Source organism: Homo sapiens, chromosome 2, assembly GCF_000001405.40.
Source record: "Homo sapiens chromosome 2, GRCh38.p14 Primary Assembly".
NCBI classification, from domain to species: domain Eukaryota; kingdom Metazoa; phylum Chordata; class Mammalia; order Primates; family Hominidae; genus Homo; species Homo sapiens.
In genome coordinates this window covers 195,494,928-195,511,341 of record NC_000002.12, presented here as the reverse complement: position 1 = coordinate 195,511,341, position 16,414 = coordinate 195,494,928, and positions in this window count along the sequence as shown.

The window sequence follows — 16,414 nt, the reverse complement described above, 5'->3', positions numbered from 1 at the left end:
TGGGCCTCTCTGAACTAATATCAAATAGAATTACATAAAAAATAAAAATGGCCAGAACTTTTGAGAGATTATATTCTGCAACTAAAGTTATCCAGGAATGTGTAACAGCTACGTAATCTCTTTATAAAAAATTTTGAAATAATTTAACGATATATAGATTATTAGGGACCTTCTAAACTTTTAGAACTGATTTTGTTGGCTTCATTAGCTCCTGCCTTGTTTTAACAGGCTTTCTTTGTATATATTGAATTATTGGAGTCAACTAAGTTGGTTAGTATGCTGTGAGGGTCACTACACATGCCCTTTTGTTTAAATTAATCAGCCTCTGCAAAGAAGAAAGACAATTTAATTTTACCAACTGAATCCAGGAGAAAAATGAATACATCAAAGCAAGTGTGAAATTCTTCCCAGTTAGCATGCACAGAGAATGTAGCTAATAATAACCTCGAGTTTTCTGTCAAGCCGGTCAATATATCTCTTTATCCATTATAATCAATATTGTAGCATTCATTCATTCATTATTCATTCACTTACCATTTATTGAAACCTTAAATTTGTGCTCAGTCAGTGCACTGTGAATGGGTATAAAGAGACAACTAAGAATCTGATCATTGTCTGGTGGGAGAGACTGACGTTACAAAGTGCAATGGTACATGCATTCTGTGAGACAGAAATTCATGGAGGAGAACTGGAAGAGATTCACCTGGATAGGTAGCCTGGGGCATAAAGAGTAGGCCTAGGAAGCCCTAAGGACATTAGGATTTATTTTGAGAGATGATGGTTGCTTTGTTAGGGTGACAGCAGGGTGGTGATGAAGAGAGGTCTTAATCTAAATATATTTTAAAGGTGGAGCTAACAAATTTTGTGGCATGAAATCAAAGAGAACATTTTAGATAGGCTTTAAAGATTTTGGAGCCAAGCACAATGACTCATGCCTGTAATCCCAGAACTCAGGGAGGCCAAGGTAGGTGGATGACTTGAATTCAGGAGTTCGAAACCAGCCTGGGCAACCTGACAAAACCCTGTCTTTACAAAAAATACTAAAATTAGCTGGGCATGGTGGCATGTGCCTGTAGTCCCAGGTACTTGGGAGTGTGAGGTGGGAGGATCACCTGAGCCCGAGGAGGTTGAGGCTGCAGTGAGACATGATCGCACCACTGCACTCCAGCCTGAGTGACAGAGTGAGACCCTGACTCCAAAAAGAAAAAAGAAAAAAAAAAGATATTGGCAAGAGCAACTAGGTTGGTGGTGTTATTTACCGAGACTGAGAAGAATTGGCATGATCTAAGTGTGACATGATAATTAGATATCCAAGTGGAGATTGAAAGAGATAGTTGGGGTAAATAAGCTTGGAATTCGGGGGACAGTCTGAATTGGGAATATACATTTGAGTATCCCAAGCATTGAGATGATATTTAAAGCCATAAAACTGGGATAATCCCCTCATTCAGCAAAGTGATGTGTAGAGACTGGGAAGATGAGGAGCCAGCAAGGAGGGCTGAGACCATTAGGGCAGGAGGAGAATCTCAAGAGGGTGTGCTATTCAGGACACCAGACACTTGAGACAGTGTCCAAGGAGGAAGTGATGGACTGTGTCAAAGGCTTGTGACAGATTTAGCAATATGTGGACTAAGTCTGGCAATGTCGATGTCACTGCACCCTTGATAAAAGCATCTTTGGTTGGAGGGTTGGGATAAAAGCCTGATTAAAGTAGGCTCAAGAGAGAATGGAAGGTGAGGAAATGGTGAAAGCATATACAATTAACTTTTTGAAGACATTTGCCTGAAAAAGGAGAGAGGCATGAGGCAGTAGCTGGAAGACTGGAAGTAGCTGGAGAAGAATTTGGGGTTGAGATTTTTCTTTTTGTAAAGAATGGAGACATCTCTGGCTGTTTGCATGCTAACGGAAACAATACAGTGGAGAAAGAAAAAGTAATGGTGCAGAACAGAAGGGGGCATTGTCTAGAGAGAGGTCCTTGAGAAGATGGGATCCATTGCACAGATGGAGAAGCTGGCCTTGAAGCACGAATAGTTCACCCACTGGAACATGAGCAAAAGCAGAGGTGATGGTGTGTGTGCAAACTGGCTAGCATATTAGGTGGTGGGAACATGTTTTAGCATACGTAAGCATAGGCAAATGCAGCAGAATCCTTTTCTCCCTCCTTGGTGAGTTGTATATTTTTTCCTGAAAGCATTGAGTGTTCTCAATCCTGGTTACACTTTAGAACCCCGTGGAAAGCTCTTAAAAAATACTGATTCCTGGGGCCTGTTCCCATAGTTAATTGGTCTGGATACTAATACTAAAAAAAAAAAAAAATCTCTCCAGTGGTTCATTTAGAACCACTAAGTTAGATGGTTTATGTAATATTTTATGTTTAGTGAATGACTAGAAAATCAGATAATTGTTTGTTATGACGGTATCAGTACTGTAAGAAACAGGACTAATATTTCAGGAAAGTGAGCTTATGTGGCAGCAGATTGAGTTCTCCAGAAATCAGTCACCAAGACTGAGATTAGCATGTAGGAAGTTTACTGTGGCAAGAAGGGAAAGGATGCAGGATTGAGCTGGAAGAGAAGTCAAGTGGCAAAGCAGGCCCTGTGATAGCCTCTGCAGACTCCATGGAGAAACTTGGAACTAAAGATGCTCTGTCAGTGTGGCTCTGCATGGGGTTGAAATGACCCAGCCTCCATGTATCAGTCATTGGATGTAGACCTTCTTGAGAAGGGCATTGACCTAGACAAGGAGGCTCTTCGCAGCTGTGCCTGACCCTGAAGGACCTGACAGCTGAAAAAGCTGGGGCAAAAAGGCCTTCCTTGGCTCCAGCCTGACAGTGTCTACTACATTGGTTAATGTTGCAGGTCCACATAGCAGATTCTAGTCTATGAGGCAGGTTAGCTGAAAAATGAACCTCCTCCATGAGTCCTGGAAGGCTCACCAAGAGTTATTTTATTTTATTTTTTTGAGAAACACATGTTTACCAGTTTATGAGTCAGTACTACTATTTTTTGAAAATGTTTGCTACACAAATACACAAACAGTCCACATATCTGATCAACTTTCTTCTAGAACTACAGCCAAAGGAAGATTAGTCTGTAAACATGTGATCACTGGTATGCTTGGCTCGACTTCCTGCAGTGTATTCTCTGATAATACAGAAGTAGTGATACTGTATGGAAGTTTTAGATAATTTTCCTGTCAGTTTACATTTTAATCATATAATAACAGAAAATTATAAAGACAATTGGGAATGAAACCACCTTTGCAAAAATTATAACTGAGGAAATTACAGCAGGAAACTGTCAAACAGAGAAATTTGACATGGCTGACTCCATCTTGTCTGTAGCTCACATGTTGGCTATCTTTGCTCATTCCTGGGCGTGGGCAGAGCTAACTTTGGAAGAAATTAAGTTTATAGTTTAAACAATAGCCCTTCCCCCAAATTAAACTGTTCTTGTAAAACTATTGAAAGGCTACCAAGTTAGGATGAGAGGAGCTTGAATTCTAAATAATTACCAGCCATTATTCTGGAAGTCATAAGATTTGCAACTTCCCCAATTACTCTTGAAGATAACGTGACTATTGTAGAACCTAAAATTGGCCTTTGAGATGTCTTTTCAGGTTTTTGCATTTCTGACAATGGGATGTCCCCACTGGGACCTGACAACCAGTCCTGTGGCCCCCACCCAGGAGCTGAGTCAGCATAAAAGGACAGCTTCAACTCCCTATCAGTTCATCTCTAAGCCAACCAATCTGTGCTCTTGAGTCACTGGCCTGCTACCCACCAAATTATCCTTAAAAACTCCAGTTCCCGAATTCTCTGGGAGACTGATTTGAGTAATAATAAAACTCCAGTCTCTCACACAGCCAGCTCTTCATGAATTAAACTCTTTCTCTATTGCAAGTCCCTTGTCTTGATAAATTGGCCCTGTCTAGGCAGTAGGCAAGGAGAACCCATTGGGCGGTTTCAGGAACATAGAGCAGTGGACAAAAATAGGATGCTTAAAGCCAATGTAAATATTCATGGTAATAAGGAAAGTTTAGAGCAATCTGACCCTGGCATTGGCACTGGCAACAAAGAAGGTGGGAGCACCACGACAAACACAGCTAGAAAATGCACAGAAAAACCAAATTAAAAGAGATTAGATTAAGAGAGATATATAGGAGATGTTTGTTTAAAATATGGAGCTTGCGATTGAGGAGATGTAAATGAATCTACAACATGATGCCTCTTGTAGCCATTATCTTTGCAATGATATTAAAAAAAACCAGACACATTTCAAAGGAGAAAAATCACAAGAAATCTTGCAGCAAAATAGAAGAACATTGTAGATAGAGACAATGCTATCAAAAGCACAGTTCCTACGCAAAGGAAAAATTGCTTGTTGGTCTTTTCAAGGTTAAATAAACTAGAGGTCTTGCTTCTTGCTATGAAGCTTTGAAAAGCTTACTTTGAATGCAGACTCTATCTTAGGAAAAAGGAGGAGGGAAAGAAAAATGCCCTCATAGGAAGGTATATTTTGAATTGACTGAATATTTCTGTGAGAGAGTGTTTTAAGCAAGAAAATGTGAATTAGGTTTAATCAGCAAATTTAAATGCACGTTGCTCTTCCTCCATCAGTGAAATTGGGTCTCATAAAGTGGTTTAATTTAATTATAGAAAATAAAGAACATGGCCTTATTGAACTCTTCTGTGAAGACCATATTAATTTTTTCATGTTACAAATGTATTATTTATCTTATTGAAAAAGAATGATTCTTTTTTTTTTTTTTTTTGAGATGGAGTTTCGTTCTTGTGGCCCAGGCCTGAGTGCAATGGTGCGATCTCAGTTCACCGCAACCTCCGCCTCCTGGGTTCAAGCAATTCTCCTGCCTCAGCCTCCCCAGTAGCTGGGATTACAGGCATGCACCACCACGCCCGGCTAATTTTTTATTTTTAGTAGAGACGGGGTTTCTCCATGTTGGTCAGGCTGGTCTTGAACTCCCGACCTCAGGTGATCTGCCTGCCTCGGCCTTCCAAAGTGCTGGGATTACAGGAGTGAGCCACTGCACCTGTCCGAAAAAGAATGATTCTTAAATGAGTTTAGCATATATTTTTTATGTGATGAAAATTGTATTTACAATAAAATAAAGAACATCAGCCATCTTTATACACTGGAAAAATGATTTAATAAATCTTTCCTTTGAAAGTAAAACACATTGTATCATTGATCATAAGAAACCAGAGATTTTACTCCTCTATAAACTGGTACAGGTTAAATTTATCCACCAGCAAATACCTAAAACTATTTTTCACTCATCAACACTTTTGGCAACATTCTGACAATTATTATTCTGACACAGTTGTTAAAGTTAAAAAAAAAAACAAACCCGAAACCATTGCCATTATAACCCCATACTTAGGTGAATCTCAGTTCTCAAAATATGACACTCATACCCAGAAGGGAAATTGATTAAGTATAAAACCTGATGTATGTTTCAGCAGCCGCAGCAATCATTCATTTTACTGAACTTTCTCAAATTGTTAGTGGTTAGTTTCATTAGTGGTATCATTAGTGCAATAGCTTCTCACCTGTTGATCAGTGAAGGACATAGGAAATTTTTGTTCTTTTATCTGATGGCAAGATATTTTAAACCTTTATATCTTAAGAGAAATTTGGTTATGTCAGGTAGAGGATGGCAAAATTTACACATATTTTAAAGATAAAAAGAACATTAAATTAATTTCCAACTTGTCCAGTTTTTAAGTTAAACTTCTGGACTTAGTAGTATGCTCTCCAGTCTCAACTGTTAGTTGTATTTTGACAGGGAAGTTTGAGAAACAGCGATGTGGTTGCATGGGAGACAAAATTTCATCTTTATCTCCTAAGAGTTTTTGTCTGGGCCTGAGAATTAAATTGACGTAAGACATAAGCAGGAGAAAAACATACATAATTATGTGTTTTACATGACATGGGAGCCCTCATAAGGAAATGAATACCCAAAGAAGTGGCAAAACCTAAATGCTTATATAGTAGGTTGAACAAAGACTAAACTGTGTGGGAAGGCTAAAGGAAGATGAAATCTTGAACGAGGTCTGGCTGTACAGAATTCTCTTGGCCTCAACTCATCCTTGATAAGAATGTTACTTTCCTTCTGGTATAGGGAGGCCATCTTTCACATAGCAATTTCATCTTCTGCTCTTTAGAGAAAGAAGAAGGTCAGAGTTCTTCTTGTATCTGCTTCTTTTCAAGTGCCTCGAGCTCAAAAGAATCCTTATGCCAAGGTGGTATATTTTGTGGTGGCATATTCTGCCACCTCTCATTCTCAAATGGGATCTAGGAGAAATTTTTAAGCAGGGCAGCAGAGTTGTTTTGGGGACTATTAATTTGATGGTCATGAGGTTGTGCTGTGAAATATGGTAACCACTAGCCATACATGGCTATTTAAATTAAAATTCATTAAAACGACATGAAATTAAAAATTGAGTTACTTGGTTACTATAGCCATATTTCGTGTAATATGGCTTCATATTACACAAATAGCTTCATAGCTAGATGTGGTGACTGCATTGGATAGCATTTCCATCATCACAGGAAGTTCTAATGGACAACACTAATATAGAGGGTCAATTGGAGGGAGGAGAAACTAGTAACTAGTAGAAGGAAAAACAATGAAGAATTTATTAATGTAGGCCAGGCCCAGTGGCTGATGCCAATAATCCCAGCACTTTGGGAGGCCGAAACGGGCAGATCACTTGAGGTCAAGAATTTGAGACCAGCCTGGCCAATATGACGAAACCCGTCTCTACTAAAAATACAAAAATTAGCCAGGTGTGGTAGCTCCCGCATGCCTGTAGTCCCAGCTACTCGGGAGGCTGATGTGGGAGAATCGCTTGAACCTGGGAGGCAGAGGTTGTGGTGAGCTGAGATCTGGCCACTGCACTCCAGCCTGGGTGACAGAGCAAGACTCCATCTCAAAAAAAAAAAAAAAAAAAAAAAGTGAATTTATTAATGGCAGAGAGTATTCTTGAGACAAACATTTACACGCCATTATGCTTTTTTTCTTTTTCTTTTGTTTTGTTTTTGTTTTTGTTTTTGTTGTGAGACAGAGTCTCGCTCTGTCGCCAGGCTGGAGTGCAGTGGCGATCTTGGCTCACTGCAGCCTCCAACTCCCGGGTTCAAGCGATTCTCCTGCCTCAGCCTCCCGAGTAGCTGGAATTACAGGTGTGTGCCACCACGCCCAGCTAATTTTTGTATTTTTAATAGAGACGGATTTTCACCATGTTGGCCAGGATGGTCTTGATCTCCTGACCTCGTGATCTGCCTGCCTCGGCCTCCCAAAGTGCTGGGATTACAGGCGTGAGCCACCGTGCCTGGCCTGCTTTTTATTTTTGAGACAGAGTCTTGCTCTGTCACCCAAGTTGGAGTGCAGTGGTGTGATCTTCGCTCACTGCAGCCTCTGCCTCCCGGGTTCAAGTGATTCTCTTGCTTCAGCCTCCTGAGTAGTGGGGATTACAGGCATGTGCCACCACGCCCAGCTTATTTTTTGTATTTTTTTGGTAGAGATGGAGTTTCTCCATGTTGTCCAGGCTGGTCTAAACTCCTGGCCTCAAGTGATCCAGCCGCCTTGGCCTCCCAAAGTGCTGGGATTACAGGTGTGAACCACTGCGCCCGGCCACTGTTAGCCTTTTTTTACTCAATTCCTTTTGCATGTTGTTTTTTTCCTTTTTAACAATCATAGTTTGTAAGGAAGAAAAAAAATGAGAAAGCAATTTACTAAAAAATATTGTAGTTTAGACTTTAAAACATATTTTGTTATAATTACAGAATGTCAGTGGTAGAAATGACCTTCCGTGTCTTCGTGTCTAACCACCCACTTGACTGAATCCACTTTAATTAGTCATTCAGTTTATGGTTGAACACCCTAGGAGGTGAGAGCCCATGGTTTCCTGAGATACAAGATTTTACCTTGGTAGACTGTCTAGGTCGAGTCTGTTCTAAAGTGACGGATCCAGTCTTCTTGAAAGCTCAGAGCAAGAAGTCATGAGTACTGGCTGCCAGTCAGGGAAGAAACGGAGCCAGAGTCCGAAGGAACCCTGCTTTTTGGTCCAAGGTTCCAACCCTAAGAACACAGGCAGTCTCTGTCCTCTCTGTTTTCAACCTCACCTTTAAACAGAAAAAAAAGAGCATGGGCAAGGACTCACAGGCTAAAACTGATATGGGTTAATACGCTTTGAAATATTTAAAGTGCTGTACACGTAGAAGTTTTTATTATTACACAGCCATGGGGAATTGTAGTGACAAAATGAAGTCCAGGAAAGCTGACATTATGGTAGTGGAAACCCTTAGGGAGCTTAAGGTTATTGTTTCAGCAGGGCTGGCTTATAAAAGAAACTTGTTAAAGAATAAGACATAAGGTTATATGGGGTTATCAGAACATGTGTACATAAAGATGAATATATTCCTGGCCTAGGGGCTCAGAAAAAGGCACCTCCTTAAATATACGTCTTATTACTGGCTCAGGTGAGAACTTGAAAAATCCAGGTATATAATGCATTATAAAAAGTCTTGAGACAAGTAGACTTGGAGAATGAAACACTGCTATAAAACAAAATCCTAACATTTCTATTCAGCTTTCCATAAAGGGAAAAAGAACAAAAAGTTCATTTTCCACAGGTAAAGGCAATGACTAAGCTGACAGAATTTGTATTTTAATGAATAAAAATTTACCGAGGTGCTTGATTATATTATCCCATAAAAAATTTAGAAACAAATGTCTACAAATCCTGAACTTTGCTCTCTTTTTGTTGAGATGAAGGGAAGAAAAACTGCTGGTTTTCAAATTGGGACTAACACTGTGACAAAAAAAGGTATATGAAATTAAAGTACATTGTTAGAATTTGCCTATGCAGTTTGCTTTGGTTTTTGAAACTGTCCTCATTTATGAAACAATAATAATATATGTATAATCTCCTGGGTGCAGTGAAGACATTAAAATAAAGTAGAATTGCAGGTGATTTCCTTCAAATGTTTAAAATCTTTCTCTTATGAAAAAGGGACTGGTCTTCCAAAGCCCTCGCTCTTTATCTAACAAGCTGCTCTATGTCTACTGTTAGACACTCACTTTTCTTGACCTCAGGTTTCTCATCCATAAAATTCAGGATTTGGCTAGGTAAGCTCTGAAATGCCAATTTCACAGCAATAACTGTTTAATCCTTTACGAAGTCCATTTACTTATCTTTATTTTTCAGATCATAGTTAATTTTTACAAAATTCTGTTAGATATTATTCTTACACCATTTTACAGGTCTGACTTTGAGAGTGGGCAAGTCACATATTCTATTTCACAGCTTGTGCAGGAGACAAAGCCAGGACTTGGTTCACGCCCACGACACCACTGACCGTGTGCTTTCTCAGCACCGAATCACCTGTGTATCACCTGTGTGGCAAGACCTATGATTAACGAAAACAAATTTCTCAACCTGTTAGCGGTCACAGAGCATAGCTGGAGAAAGTAGCTCTCAAATACTATTTTTCATGTCTTTTATTTCTTAAAGGGCCACAGTAAGGCAAAATAAAGGCAAATTTTCTGTTTCAAATGGTAGTAATGATGTGAGTAGCTCAGCCGAGCTTGTCTAAAAATCCTTTGATCATTCAACTTTGTGTGCCATCAGTTTGCTTTTATTAAACTCTTTTTTTTTAATTTTGAGATAATTGTAGATGTACAGGCAGTTGTAAGAAATAATACACAGAAATTCCATGTACCCTTCATCCAGTTTCCTCTATTGTAATTCCTACATTACTGTGATACAAAAGCACAAACAAGAAACTGATGTGGAGACGACCCATTCACATTCAGATTTTACCAGCTTTCCATGCACTTACTTGTGGGTGTGTGTGTATTTTGTCTATGTATTTTGCCCTATGCAATTTATGACCTGGGTACATTCATGTGACGACCACCACAGTCAAGATACAGAAGAATTCCATTGCAAGGAACCCTCATGCTATCCTTGCATAGCCACCTAACTTCAATTCTTGGCAGCCACTAATTTGCTTTCCATTATTTTGTCATGTCAAGAATGTAATACAAATGGGATTATATAGTATGTAACCTTTTAAGATGGACTTTTAGATGGGCTTTTTCTTCACTCAGCATAATTTTCTTGAGATCTATCTAAGTTGATTAGTGTATCAATTCCTTTCCATTACTGCGTAGTAGTCTATGGCTTGATGAACCACAATCTGTTTAACTGCTCATGCATGGAAAGACATTTGGATGGCTTCCAGTTTTTGTCTATTATGAACAAAGCTGCTATGAATATTCATGTACAGGGTTTGTGTGAACGTAAATGTTCATTTCTCTGGGATAAATGTCCAAGAGTGCAATTTGTGGTTCATATGGTAAGTGCATCTTTAGTTTTGTAAGAGACTGCCATACTCTTTTCCAGGATGATTGTATCATTTTACAGTCCCATCAGCAATGCACGAGTGGTCCAGTTTCTCAGTATTTTTGCCGGAATCTAGGGCCTTGTCTAGGGAAGACCCTCTAGTCTACAAACTGGGTAAGGAAGGGAGCCGCTGACTGCTCAGCTGCACTCATCTGGAATTTAGCCTCTGCAACATGGATCTGGAGAAAGGATGAGAAATGATGGTGGACTGCCCCTCCTGGGGAGATAAAGGGAGAAGGATTCCCGTGTTCTTGGCTGTACCCATCCAAAGTGAAATTTTTTTTCACTGAGGTAGGAGGGGGAGGGTGAGAGTGGGCTGTAGTTCACATGTCACAGACTCAAAGAGGTAGTTTTTTTTTTTTTTGGTAATTTTACTAGTTATGGTTTTTCTTTGTGGAGTAGGTCTGCAGAGGCCTTCAAGCCCTTCATTTCTGAAAGTGGAACCTAGTACTGTTGAGTTGGAGAATTTTAAATATATTTGATATTACAAGTCCTTTGTCAGAGATGTGAGATGTGATTTACAAATATTTTTTCCTAGTCTGCTGCTTGTCTTTTCATATTCTTAACAGAGACTTTCACCAAGCAAAAAATTTTAATTTTGAACCGGCTCAATTTATTTATTTATTTATTTAATAGATTGTGTTGTTAGTATCAAATCTAAGAACTCTTCATTTAGCTTATGGTCCTGAATATTTTCTCCTGTATTTTTCTTAAAATTTTGATAGTTTTACTTTTACATTTAAATGTATGATCATTTTGAGTTGATTTTTGTGTAAGTTATGAAGATTAGGTTGAGGATTTTTTTTTTTATTTTTTTTGCCTATAAATGTCTAATTGCTCCAGCACTATTTGTTGAAAGGGCTATTCTTTCTCCATTGATGGCTTTTGCATCTTAAAAAAAAAAACAGTCAGACATATTTGTGTGGGCCTATTTCTAGGTTTTCTGTTCTGTGGATCTACGCACTTATCCCTCCACTAACACCACATTATTTTGATTACTGTAGCTATACAGGAAGCTGTAATATTGGGTGGAGCGATTCCTGTCATTTTACTCTTCTTTTGCAAAATTATTTCGGCTTCTTGTGCCCATAAGCCTGTCTGTATCTATGAAACACCTTGTTGGGATTTTGTTAGGAATTACATTAAAGCTATAGATCAATTTGGGGAGAATGGACATCTTTACTATGTCAATCCACTTTTGAATTAATGGAACATTCCATTCATTTTTGCTGTTTTTACGAATATAAGTAAAGAATACAAATAAAGTAAAGAAGCTTTCCATCTAATTCATAGTAAAAATACATTGGTATCAATTTACTTACTTAAAAAAGTAAGAGTATTTTTTTTCTCCCGAAATCTTTGGGTTGATTTAATTTTCTACATTAATGTTTACAAGCAGAACTTTTGTTTCTATATAGACACAGCCATGGATAATCATAACAACTGTGACTCTACCTCCTTCAAATAAATGCTTGAATTCAATTTCCCCGCCAATGCCTGGTAGTAAAGGCTAAGTTAGCTAAATAGGAGTAGTTGGCCATACAATAACTAAACATTCTTCTGAGTAAAGAAAAGTCTGGAACGCAGATTACTTAGCCAAATGACTCATGGATTGTGGCCCTCCAGAGAAAACTGAGAGCACATTAAACCTTCTAAAGCTCTTTGGGATGGGAAAAAGTGTTGCTAAAAAAGGATTTTTACTATATCCTCCCTTTTAAACAGGGTTCAAATTGGAAAGCGCTTATCTCAGTGTACCATTTTGTTTTGCTAGTTATTATTATTTCCAGCTCTATTAGGTGAGTGATCTCACACAGAGAAGGGAAAATTGAGCTTTTCTGGCTGGGCACTATTACTCTGCCCAGCTGAAAGCTGCTATGCTGGACAGCATCTTTTCTGTAGCTACATTTGTAGGCCACAGGAACTGTGGATAGTTATGTATTCAGTTGTTACAGTCATCTATTTATTTGTCTTAAGAATAAAAACAAATCTTCCAATTGACCTTAATTTTTTTGCAGCTGCAGTTTTAAAGAATTATAGTATCTTTTTATATTAAGAACTTTTTTATAAGCCAGTAAAAATAGAAATTTGATTCACAAAGTTTTTTCTTTCTAGAACAATTTACTGGCATTTATTTCTCTTAGAGACTGGGATAGAAGAAGAAATGCAGATGATTAAAACTCAGGCAGTAGATCCCTTGCTTTAAACCAGAGCCAAGAAACTTTCTAACTATATATTTATACTGCTTCCAGTTTTAGAAGGCTGGTCGTCTTTATTGAAGGCAAGTCAATGTGGAAAGCTCTATTGTTGTGTGTTCAAATACTATATTATAACCCTGTATTTGTTTTTCTTCTGTAAATTCATACAACACTTTGCAGTTATTTCTTAGTTCATATACTTTTGGTGCCATGTGACAGAAAACTCAACTCAGTGTATTGACCCAAGTAACATAAAAATCAAGGTGTAGACATAGCTGGATAGTTCATTCCATCTCTTGTCTCTGCTTTTAATTGTGTTGGCTAACTTTTTAAGTAGGCTTCCCCCTGGTGGCCCACTGAATTTTCCTCTCCTGTTGACTCTTGTGAGTTGGACTTCTGAGTCCTGCAATTAGTGTTAATTGGGTCATGTATTTATCCACAAACCATTTACTGTGGAGAGGGCTAGTCTATTCCCCTGTTAACCAGGCTAGGGTCAGAGGTTATTTTCCTGTCTATTCCCCAGTTAACAAGTCTAGGGTCAGAGGCAATTTTCCAATCTGAACCTTGCCATTTGAGCCAAGAGCTTTGGAAGACTACATAGATATGCACAGTTTGGAAAATATGTAGGGGTAGAGAGAATGCAGTTGTAGACAGCATTTTTGCATTTCTGGTTATAATCAGGGCACTTTTCTTTGTTCAGAAATTTCTCTTCATTATAAATTACTCTGTTATTCTGTTATAGCAGCATGAAACTAACTAAGAGCTACGAAGTCATTCTGTATCTGAGGACAGTTTCAGCTCCATCCAAGGACTTAGCCTCAAGATGTGGAAAAAGTTAGTGATTTAGAGTTGTGTATGTCTGGAGAGGAACTGAGGGTTACTAAGCAGGCAAAAATCAACAGCCGTTCACTACGACAGGTTTTTTTTTTTTTTTTTTTTTTTGAGACAGTCTTGCTTTCGCCCAGGCTGGAGTTCAGTGGCGCGATCTCGGCTCACTGCATGCTCTGCCTCCCAGGTTCACGCCATTCTCTTGCCTCAGCCTCCCGAGTAGCTGGGACTACAGGTGCCCACCACCATGCCTGGCTAATTTTTTGTATTTTTAGTAGAGACGGGGTTTCACCGTGTTAGCCCGGATGGTCTTGATCTCCTGACCTCGTGATCCACCTGCCTTGGCCTCCCAAAGTGCTGGGATTACAGGCGTGGGCCACCGCGCCCAGCTACAACAGGTTCTAAAGAGCTGTTCATTAAAGAAACAACTGGAAAATAAACAAAACAAGTTTATGTTTGTTACTATGGTTTGAATGTGTCTGCAAGTTGATGAGTAAGAAACTTGATCACAAATTCAATGGTGTTAGGAGGTGGGACGTAATGGATGGTGTTAGGATCATGGGGTCTCTGCACTCATGAATGGATTAATGCCATTCTCACATGAGTGGATTCCTTATAAAAGGATGAGTTCAGCCCCTCTTGCTCTCTCTTGCCTTCTCTTTGCCCTTCAGCCCGGGTGACACAGTAAGAAATACCTCATCAGATGCTGGTGCCCTGATCTTAGACTTCCCTACCTCCAGAACTGTGAGAAATAAATTTCTCTTCCTTATAAATTACTCAGTCTGTGATACTCTGTTATAGCAGCATGAAACTAAGACCCTTGTAAATCAACAAAAACAGGGAAAATGGTAAATAATCCCTTATAAACAAAACCTTTTTATGAAAGTGTTTAATAAAATAGTAAATGTTCATCAGTGGCTTCTTGTTTTTGGGTCTTGATCTGTTTACATATAAATTTAGGCGGCTGATTAAATAGTTTCTTAGGTGTCTCAGGTTTAACATTCTGTCATTCCACCATTAGCAGTCCTCACTCCTGTTGAGTATAATGTGTCTCTCTAAGCCTTAAAGGCTGCAGTGTGATGAAGGTGAAGATGCTGCATCTGGGAATTCCAGTAGCTTTAAGTAATTGCCATTTGAGCCAAGAGCTTTGGAAGACTATATAGATATGCACAATTTGGAAAATATATAGGAGTAGGGAGAGTACGGTTTTAGACAGCATTTTGCATTTCTGGTTACAATCAGGGCACAAAGTGATAAGACGAAAGTTACCATACACTCATTTAAAAAATCACTGGTTATTTTTCCAGACTTTTCTTTGTTCAGAGAAATATTTAATTATTGTATTGCCAACCGCCATTCTCTGGGATTGGCTGGTAAATTTTGAGGTGATAGAAGCCAATTTTAACTTTAGCCTTGTGATTTGTGAACATTTTCTTTTTCTTATTTTTTTTAAAGCCAAACTGCTCATTCATCTATTTGACACATATAGTGAAACGTGTACTATGAGGAATGCACTGTTTAAGAAAATAAAGTGGTAAAAAAATTTTTTTGCCCTAATGGGGCTTACACTATCCTAAGGAAGATAAGCAAATATATAATATGAGTCTGAGACTATTAAGTGCTGTGATAAAAAATGAAGTGGGGCAATTGATTGTGTCTGGAGTGCTATTTTGTAGCCACCAGAGAAGACCTCTTCCTCTAAGAAGGTTGCATTAGAGCAGAGATGGAGATTAAGTGAGGAAGCCAGCCATGTCTCCTCTTAGAGGAGGGCTTTCCAGATAGAGAAATCAGCAGGGGCAGAGGATTTGAAGTAGGCACATGCTTGAAATGTTTGAAAAATTACAGGGAGGCCAAAGTGGCTGGAGCAGAGTGAGTGGGGTGGGGAGGTGGGGTAGACTGGCTGGGAATGGACCAGAGAAGCAGCCAGGGGCCAGATCATGCAGGTCTGGGTAAGGACTTAGAATTTTTTTTCAAAGTGTGATGGGAAACCTTGGAGAGTTTTGATATGAAAAGCCACAAGATCTAGTTTTCATTGTAAAGACTCTCCTGGGCTGCTGCTTGGAGAGCCTTCTTTAAGGGGAGCAGAGCAGAAGCAGCTGGGAAGCCTTTGGTTGAGGCTCCCTCTGCTCCCAGCAAGGAGCTCCTTCATGGGGACAGCTCCCAGGAGAGCAGCCTGCCCCTGGACATCCTTGGATCCCCACTCTGAGCTACTGTGACCAGAGCAGAAATTATCTGCTCTCACTGTGGAGCTGGGACAACTGCGTTTCTATCCCCTACCTGGAGGAATGGATGTGCTTAACTACTAAAAAGCACCACACACATGGTGGAAGGATGCTGTGGTGAATTTCGTTCTGTTGGTTGTATAATCTGGGCTGGGATCAAAACCACCACTTACAAGATTGTTCCTCTGGGGACATTATTTCCAAGTTCAAATCAACTGACTTAAGAATGTGTTGCATACTAAGAATTAATTTTGGTAATTGGAGAACTGACTCTTCTTCTTATGAAGAGTTGGGAACATTATCCTAAGGAAGATCATTAACACATTAAGGATTAATAACACCTACTGAACAACATTGACATAAAAAAATTAAGGGTTTTTTTTTTGAGAGAGAAAGTTATATGAATGACTAGAAATACAGGTGAAATCAAATTAATGTCTGAAAAATTTTCCTCTTCGAAACTAAATAGAATATTTCAAGAAAAGTAGTTCTATGGGGAAAATTCTTACAGTAACCTTACAATTAAGTATAAAGGCTTTGGCTAGTCTCTTTTGAATGATCTCTGCTTCTCTCAACTAGTATGGGTAAATGGTATTGTATAATATGACACTTGTTCAATATTGAACATCATTCTGTTGGGGGTGTGTGTGGGTGGACATACATTCGCCAGTGTTCAATGATTTTTAGCAATTTTATATAGTGTCTCAGATGTTAAGATGTTAAGTTCGTGTAAGTGTTGT